This window comes from Homo sapiens, chromosome X, assembly GCF_000001405.40.
Source record: "Homo sapiens chromosome X, GRCh38.p14 Primary Assembly".
Classification (NCBI taxonomy): domain Eukaryota; kingdom Metazoa; phylum Chordata; class Mammalia; order Primates; family Hominidae; genus Homo; species Homo sapiens.
This window is the reverse complement of record NC_000023.11, coordinates 48,373,542-48,383,356: the sequence shown is the minus strand read 5'-3', so window position 1 is coordinate 48,383,356 and position 9,815 is coordinate 48,373,542. Positions and strand designations below refer to the sequence as shown.

Sequence of the window (9,815 nt, the reverse complement as noted above, 5' to 3'; positions counted from 1 at the left end):
GAGTTCACTAACTGCCCTGATTGGTCCATCATCCTTGGGCAGTGACATTGCAGAATGTTGTCGCCTCCTCCAGCCACACTTTGTGCGACAAAGTGGGTGGTCCTCAGGCGCCATCAGGAGATTTTGAACTCTCTGAAGACCGTCCCTGGATCTTGGGTTAAACATCTGGATTCTAGTCTGAACCGTGGGAAGAAAAAATAGTCGATCTGTGATTTTTCTATTTGAAAGACACAATGTTTTCCAAACTAGCACATTTGCGGAGGTTTGCTGTACTTAGTCGTGGAGTTCATTCTTCAGTGGCTTCTACATCTGTTGGAACTAAAAAAACAGTCCAAGGCCCTCCAACCTCTTTTATTCTTATTTTTTTTTCTTTTTTTTTTTTTTTTGTAGTTTTCTTTTTTTTTTCTTTTATTATTATACTTTAAGTTTTAGGGTACATGTGCACATTGTGCAGGTTAGTTACATATGTATACATGTGCCACGCTGGTGCGCTGCACCCACTAACTCGTCATCTAGCATTGGGTATATCTCCCAATGCTATCCCTCCCCCCTCCCCCCACCCCACAACAGTCCCCAGAGTGTGATGTTCCCCTTCCTGTGTCCATGTGATCTCATTGTTCAATTCCCACCTATGAGTGAGAATATGCGGTGTTTGGTTTTTTGTTCTTGCGATAGTTTACTGAGAATGATGATTTCCAATTTCATCCATGTCCCTACAAAGGACATGAACTCATCAATTTTTATGGCTGCATAGTATTCCATGGTGTATATGTGCCACATTTTCTTAATCCAGTCTATCATTGTTGGACATTTGGGTTGGTTCCAAGTCTTTGCTATTGTGAATAGTGCCGCATTTTTGGAAGGGAATGTAAGTGTGGTGCGCACAATTACCATCCTTTACCTGTAGCCCTGGAGAGAGGAAAATGTATTTACTTATGGGATGTGATTGTGGTATTGGTTACATCCGCCTTGGTCAATCCTCCCATCTCATTCTCGGGACTACAGGCATGCACCACCCTGCCCAGGTTTGTTTTTGTTATTATTATTATTATTTTTTAGTTGAAACTGGGTTTCTCTATGTAGGCCAGGCTGGCCTCAACCTCCAGGGCTCAAGGGATCCTCCCACCTCCTCAGCCTGGGGACCACAGGCATGCACCACCCTGCCCACGGTATTTTTTTTGTTTTTCAGTAGAAACCGGGTTTTGCTATGTTGCACAGACTGGCCTCAACCTCCTGGGCTCAAGCAATGCTTCCACCTCAGCCTCGGGACCATAGGCGTGTGCCATTCTGCCCTGATAATTTTTTTTAGGAGAGACAGGCTTTCGCTATGTTGACCAGGCTGGTATCGACCTTCTGGGCTCAAGCAATCCTCCCACCTCAGCCTGGGAACTACAGGGGTGAGCCACCCCGCCCATGCTATTTTTGGTTGTTCTTCTTATTAGTAGAAATGGGGTTTCACTATGTTGGCCAGGCTGGCCTTGACCTCCTGGGCTCAAGCAATCCTCCTGCCTCGGCCTCGGGACCACTGGCACACACCACCCAGCCCCCACTAATATCTTTAATTTTTCTAGTAGAGACAGTTTCGCTATGTTGTCCAGGCTGGTCTCTACCTCCTGGGTTCAAGTGATCCTCCTGCCTCGGCCTCGGGACTGCAGGCCTGCACCACCCTGCCTTTTGCTATGTTTCCCAGGCTGGTCTCAACCTCCTGGGTTCACTCAATGATTTGAACCCGGGAAGGGGAGGTTGCATTGAGCTGAGATCCCACCACTGCACTCCAGCCTGGGTGACAGAGAAAAACTGTCGAAAAGAAAAGGAAGGGAAGGGAGAAGGGATGGGAGAAGGGAAGGGAGAAGGGAAGGGAAAGGAGAAGGGAAGGGAAGGGAAGGGAAGGGAAGGGAAGGGAAAGGAGAAGGGAAGGGAAGGGAAGGGAAGGGAAGGGAAAGGAAGGGAAGGGAAGGGAAGGGAAGGGAAGGGAGAAGGGAAGCGAAAGGAGAAGGAAAAGGAAGGGAAGGGAGAACGGAAGGGAAGAAGGAAGGGAAGAAAGGGAAGGGAAGATGGGAAGGGAAGACAGGAAGGGAAGATGGGAAGGGAAGAAGGGAAGAGAAGAAGGAAGGGAAGGAAAGGGAAGAAGGAAGGGAAGGGAAGAAGGGAGGGAGGGAGGAAGGAAGGAAGGAAAGAAGGAAGGAAGGAAGGAAGGAAGGAAAGAAAGAAAGAAAGAAAGAAAGAAAGAAAGAAAGAAAGAAAGAAAGAAAGAAAAGAACCAGCTGAGTCTCCGTAAGAACAGTAAGCTTTGTGGTATTTTAACTTACCCTCGTCCCATCTCGTGCTCCCAGCTTGGTTCTGTTTATTGTTGATGAAATACAGACAGGAGTGGCCAGAACTGGTAGATGGCTGGCTGTTGATCATGAAAATGTCAGACCTGATATAGTCCTCCTTGGAAAGGCCCTTTCTGGGGGCTGATACTCTGTGTCTGCGGTGCTGTGGAATGATAACATAATGCTGACCATTAAGCCAGGGGAACGTGGGTCCACATACGGTGGCAATCCACTAGGCTGCCAAGTGGCCATCGCAGCCCTTGAAGTTTTAGAAGAAGAAAACCTTGCTGAAAATGCAGAAACAATGGGTATTCTCCTGAGAAATGAACCCATGAAGCTACCTTCTGATGTTGTAACTGTTGTAAGAAGAAAATAATTATTTTATTTATGTATTTATTTGCTTAAGTCACAGGTTCACTCTGGTTGCCCAGGCTGGATTGCAATGGTGCGATCTTGGCTCACTGCAACCTCTGCCTCCTGGGTTCAAGTGATTCTCCTGCCTCAGCCTCCCGAGTAGCTGGGATTACAGGCACGCACCACTATGCCCAGCTAACTTTTGTATTTTTAGTAGAGACGGGGTTTCACCACGTTGGCCAGGCCGGTCTCGAACTGCTGACCTCAGGTGATCCACCCACCTTGGCCCCCCAAAGTGTTGGGATTACAGGTGTGAGCCACCACACCCGGTGTGGAAAAGAATTATTAAATGCTATTGTTATTAAAGAAACCAAAGATTGTGCTGCTTGGAAAGTGTGTGTCTAAGACTTCGAGATAATGGACTTCTGGCCAAGCCAACCCATGGCGACATCATCAGGTTTCACCTCTGCTGGTGGTCAAGGAGGATGAGATTCCAGGGTCAATTGTTATCATTAACAAGACCATCTTGTCGTTCTGAGTGTAGCAGCCGTTTTCAGTGGTCCCTGGGAGCCGGCTGGAGACAGGTGGTCCTGTAAAAGCTCTGCTCTAAATGTGGGCACATTCCACTCCCATGTGTCTTCAAAACCTTTTCGTGGAATATATGTTTTTTGCAGTTGATACATACTAGAACAACGTTTATGAACCTGCCCGTTGCTTTGTAACGTAAGTAAGAGAATTTAATGGCATCTATATTCAATGAATGTTTTGATGTGCATGTGTACTTTCTAAGGTAAAATGCATCTATGTGTATTGACAGCCTTTAAATCACATCCTTCAGTATAATTTATATATGTTTTTATAATTTCCATGCTAGTATAAATGTTTTGTATTTGAAAATGTTATCTCTGGGGTATTACATAAATGGCTTCACCTTATAAAGTCAAATCATTGTTATCATTGAATTTTAGGAAGGATGAATGGTTAAGCATATATAAAATACTAATATTAAGTAAACTTCATGTTGGCTAACACCAGGATGTATTCTATGGATGTCATTATTTTCAATTAAGAATTAGTGTTTAACATTCCTGAATTGCTTTGAGTGCTTGATTAAAATTTGTAGAAAAATGTTTGTTTATTTTTTATTTTTATTTTTATTTTTTTATTTATTTTTAGCAGAGACGGGGTTTCACCGTGGTCTCGATCTCCTGGCCTCGTGATCCACCCGCCTCGGGCTCCCAAAGTGCTGGGATTACAGGCATGAGCCACCACTGCGCCTGGCCAAAGAATGTTTATTTTTAATAATTTTTTAAATTTTAAATAAAGCTTATATTTCAGAAAAAAATAAGATACAGATCATGGCCAGGTGCGGTGGTTCACGCCTGTAATCCCAGCACTTTGGGAGCCCGAGGTGGGTGGATCACTTCAGGTCAGGAGTTTGAGACCAGCCTGGCTAACAAGGAGAAACCCCGTCTCTACTAAAAATACAAAACTTACCAGGCATGGTGGCACGCACCTGTAATCCCAGCTACATGGGAGGCAGAGACAGGAGAATAGCTTGAACCAGGAAGACAGAGGTTGCAGTGAGCTGAGATCGTGTCACTGCACTCCAGCCTAGGTGACAGAGTGAAAATCCCTCTCGGGAAAAAAAAAAAAAAAAAGAAAGAAAGAAAAAAAAAAGGTACAGGACATTTCCATCACCAAAGTGCTATCCCTTGTGCTACTCATTTTTAGTAATACCCACTCTCCTCCCGTCCACCATCCCTAACCCCTGGCAACTACTAATCTTTTTCATTTCTACAATTTTGTCTTTTCTACAATGCTGTACAAATGAAATCTTATAGTATATAACATTTTACAGGCTTATTTCACTCAGCATAATTCCATGGAGATTCATCCAATATATTAATATTTTTGTATCAGTAGTTCATTGTTGTTTTTGTTGTTGAGACGGAGTCTCACTCTGCTGCCCAGGCTGGAGTGCAGTGGTGCGATCCCGGCTCACTGCAACCTCTGCCTCCCAGGTTCAAGAGATTTTACTGCCTCAGCCTCCCGAGTAGCTGTGACTACAGGCGCGTGCCACCACGACCGGGTAATTCTTTTTTTTTTTTTTTTTTTTGAGACAGAGTCTCACTCTGTCGCCCAGGCTGGAGTGCAGTGGCGCAATCACTGCTCACTGCAAGCTCCGCCTCCTGGGTTCATGCCATTCTCCTGCCTCAGCCTTCTGAGTAGCTGGGACTACAGGCGCCCGCCACCACTCCCGGCTAATTTTTGGTATTTTTTAGTAGAGATGGGGTTTCACCGTGTCAGCCAGGATGGTCTCGATCTCCTGACCTCGTGATCCGCCCGCCTCGGCCTCCCAAAGTGTTGGGATTACATGCGTGAGCCACTGCGCCCGGCCAATTGTTCATTTTTATTACGGAGTAGTATTCCATGGTATGGATGTACCACAGTTCAACCATTCGCTTATTGCAGGACATATTGATTATTTCCAGCTTTTGGCTATTACAAGTAAAGCTGCTATGAACAATTGTGTACAAGTTTCTGGATGGGCATACATTTTAACTTCTCTGAAGTGTAATTGTTGAATTGTATGGTCACTGCATGTTTAGTTTTATAAGAAACTACCAAACTGCTTTTACCTTCCCAGCAGCACTTAATGAGGTGTCCATTTTCTCTGCATCCTTGTCACCATTTGGTGTTGTCACTATGTCTTTTATTTTAGCTATTGTAATAAGTGTGTAGTGATACCTCATCGTGGTGTTATTCTGCATCTAGTGAAGCAAATGAGTGTTGAACATCTTTTCATGTGCTTATTTGCTTATTTCCTCTTCAGTGAAATGTATGCTCATATCTTTTCATAATTTTCTAATTGGATTATTTGGTTTTTTTTTACCTTTGAGTTATTATTATTATTATTATTATTATTATTATTATTATTATTATTTAAGGCAGAGTCTCTCTCTGTTACCCAGGCTGGAGTGCAGTGGCATGATCTTGGCTCACTCCAACCTCTGCCTTCCAGGTTCAAGCGATTCTTGTGCCTCAGCCTCCCGCGTAGCTGGGATTACAGGCATGCATCAACATGCCTGTCTAATTTTTGTATTTTTAGTAGACATGGGTTTTTGCCATGTTGCCCAGGCTGGTCTCAAACTCCTGGCCTCAAGGGATCTGCCTTCCATCCACCTCGACCTTTCAAAGTGCTGGGATTACACGACTGAGCCACCACACCCGGCCTACGGTTGAGTTTTGAGAGTACTATACATATCCATTATATATTCTGGATGTGAGTCCTTTCTTGGATATGTGGTTTGCAAACATTTTCTCCCAGTCCATACTTTGTTTTTTCATCCTTTTAACAGGGTTTCTTGCAGAGCAAAAGTTTTAAATTGGATGAAATCTAATTTACTTTTTTTCCTTATGGATTATGCTTTTTGAACTGTTCACCATGCCCTAGATCTCAGACGTTTCTCCTATGTTTTCTTGTAAAAGCTTTTTTTTTTAGTTTTATATTTCAGATTTAAATATATGATCCATTTGAGTTACTTTTTTGTATAAAGTTATGAAGATTAGGTCTTATTTTTTTTTTTTTTTTTTTTTGCCTATGGATATGCAACTGCTCCAGCACCATTTGTTAAGCAGACGATCCTTCCTTCTTTCTGTCTCTTTGTAAAAAATCAGTGTGTGGCTATTTCTAGGTTCTCTATTTTGCTCCAGTGATCTATGTGTCTATTCTTCTGCCAATACTACACAGTCTTGATTCCTGTAGCTATATAAGAAGTATTGAAATATGGTAGAGCCATTCCTCCTACCTTATTCTTCTTTTTCAAAAATTGTCTTAGCTATATAATTTTTTTTTGATATGGAGTCTCACTCGTGTCACCCAAGCTGGAGGGCAGTGGGGTGATCTCGGCTCACTGCAAACTCTGCCTCCCGGGTTCAAGGGATTCTCCTGTCTCAGCTTCCCGAATAGCTGGCATTACAGGCGTGCACCTCCACACCCGGCTAATTTTTGTATTTTTAGTAGAGACGGGGTTTCGCCATGTTGGCAAGGTTGGTCTCGAACTCCTGACTTCAAGCGATCCGCCCGTCTCGGCCTCCCAAAGTGCTGGGATTACAGGCGTGAGCCACCGTGCCCAGCCCAGCGTTGTCTTAGCTATTGACAATTTGTTACAGCAACAATAAAAAATGAATACATATAGAAACAGATTAGTGAAAAAAAAAATAGAAAGTCAAGAAACAGACTAAGTTATGTGCAAAATTCAGCATGCATTTCCAAACACTGGGCAAAAGATGGGTTGTATAATAAACGATTGCTTGACAAGTGTCTATCCATTTGAAAAAATAAATATTAAAATACTTACTTTAAACCACATAAAATAATAAATTCTAAAAATTCACTGACTTAAATGTGAAAACGTGAAGTCATAAAGAACTAGACGAAAATTTAGGAAAATATTACAGTGTAAGACATTTTGAGTTGGCATAGGCACTTCCTGACATTACACCAAGGCTATGAACAATGAATCTGACATACTTAAAGATGTAAAAATTAAAGTATCATCTAAGTCAAAAGACACCATAAACAACTGTGTAAAGAGGCAAATTTTGGAGAAAATGGTGAAGCATCCGCAGTAAAAGTAACCATCTCTAATATACGACAAAGCTTTTGCATATCATAAGAGAAATTGGAACAACCCAATGAAAAACTTCAGGCACGGCACTACTTCACTGTATAGTAGAAAACGATTACGAAATAGAAAGTATGAAAGTAAAATAATAAAGGAAATGGAGAATAGATCCCAGAAGTTTCACCGTTCATCTAGTAGAAGTTCCAGACATACAGAATAGAAAGACTGGGCCGGGCGCAGTGGCTTACGCCTGTAATCCCAGCACTCTGGGAGGCTGAGGCAGGCAGATCACCTGAGGTCAGGAGTTCGAGACCAGCCTGTCCAACATGGCAAAACCCTGTGTCTACTAAAAATACAAAAATTAGCCCGGTGTGGTGGCGGGCGTCTGAAATCCCAGCTACTTGGGAAGCTGAGGCAGGAGAATCAGTTGAACCTGGGAAGCGGAGGTTGCAGTGAGCTGAGGTCTTGCCACTGCACTACACCCTGGGTGACAGAGCAAAACTACGTCACAAAAGTGAAAAAAATAAAAAAAAGAATATTAAGACTGGGGAGAAGGCAGTACTTGAAGAAATAATGTTCTAGAATTTTCTGAACTGAACAAAGACACTTTGGGAGGCCGAGATGGGTGGATCGCTTGAGGTCAGGAGTTTGAGACCAGCCTGGCTAACATGGAGAAACACCGTCTCTACTAAAAATACAAAAATTAGCTGGGTGTGGTGACGGGTACCTGAAATTCCAGCTACTTGGGAAGCTGAGACAGGAGAATCGCTTGAACACGGGAGGCAGAGACAGCAGTGAGCCGAGATCACCCCACTGCCCTCCAGCTTGGGCGACAAAAGTGAGACTCCTTCTCAAAAAATGTATATGTAACTAAGACAATTTTTGAAAAAGAAGAATAAGGTGGGAGGAATGGCTCTACCATATTTCAATACTTCTTATATAGCTACAGGAATCAAGACTGTGTAGTATTGGGAGAAGAATAGACACATAGATCACTGGAACAAAACAGAGAACCTGGAAATTGCCCCACACTGTTTTCCCCAAGAGACAAAAAGAAGGATCGTCTGCTTAACAAATGGTGCTGGAGCAGTTGCATATCCATAGACAAAACAACAACAACAACAACAACAACAAACAAACAAACAACAACAAGAAAACACCTAATCTTCATATATATATACATATATATATACATATATATACACATATATATATACATATATATACACATATATATACACATATATATACATATATATACACATATATATATACATATATATATACATATATTAAAAACTCAAGTGGCTCATAGATTTAAATCTAAAATATAACACTAAAAAAACTTTTACAAGAAAGAGTAGGAGAAACGTCTGAGATCTAGGCATAGTGAACGGTTCAAAAAGCATAATCCATAAGGAAAAAAATAAATTAGATTTCATCCAATTTAACTTTTGCTCTGTAGAAACCGTGTTAAAAGGATGAAAAAACAGGGTGTAAAGTGGGAGAAAATGTTTGCAAACCACGTATCCAAGAAAGGACTCACATCCAGAATATATAACGGATACGTATAGTACTCTCAAAACTCAACGGTATGCCAGGCGTGGTGGCTCACGCTTGTAATCCCAGCACTTTGGGAGGTCGAGGTGGACGGAGGGTAGATCCCTTGAGGCCAGGAGTTCGAGACCAGCCTGGGCAACATGGCAAAACCCATCTCTACTAAACATTCAAAAATTAGACAGGCATGATGGTTCGCACCTGTAATCCCAGCTACGCGGGAGGCTGAGGCATGAGAATCGCTTGAACCTAGGAGGCAGAGGTTGGAGTGAGCCAAGATCATGCCACTGCATTCCAGCCTCGGTAGCAGAGCGAGACTCTGTCTCAAAAACAAAACAACGGTAAAAACAAACAAATAATTCAATTAGAAAATTATGAAGATATATGAACATACATTTCACTGAAGAGGAAATAAGCAAATAAGCACATGAAAGGCTGTTCAACACTTACTTGCTTCACTAGATGCAAATTAAGACCACGATGAGGCATCACTACACACTTATTACAACAGCTAAAATGAAAGACATAGTGACAATACGAAATGCTGGAAAGGATGCACAGAAACTGGACATCTAGTAAAATGCTGCTGAGAGGGTAAAATCTTACAGCCACTCTGGAAAGCAGTTTGGTAGTTTCTTATAAAACTAAACATGCAGTGACCATACAATTCATCAATTACCACTTCATAGAAATTAAAATTTATCCCCATCCAGAAACTTGTACATAATTGTTCATAGCAGCTTTATTTGTAATAGCCAAATAGCCGGATATAATCAATATGTCCAACAATAGGTGAATGGTGAAACTGTGGTACATCCATACCATGTAATACTACTCAGTAATAAAAATGAACCATTGGCCGTGCACGGTGGCTCACACTTGTAATCCCGGTATTTTGGGAAGCCGAGGCAGGCAGATCATGAGGTCAGGAGGCAAGTAGATCATGAGGTCAGGAGTT

General features: G+C 42.3%; 1 pseudogene; it reads left to right on the top strand.

The window, feature by feature from the left end:
* On the top strand, nucleotides 204-4,006 carry LOC101060049 (ornithine aminotransferase, mitochondrial-like; annotated as a pseudogene).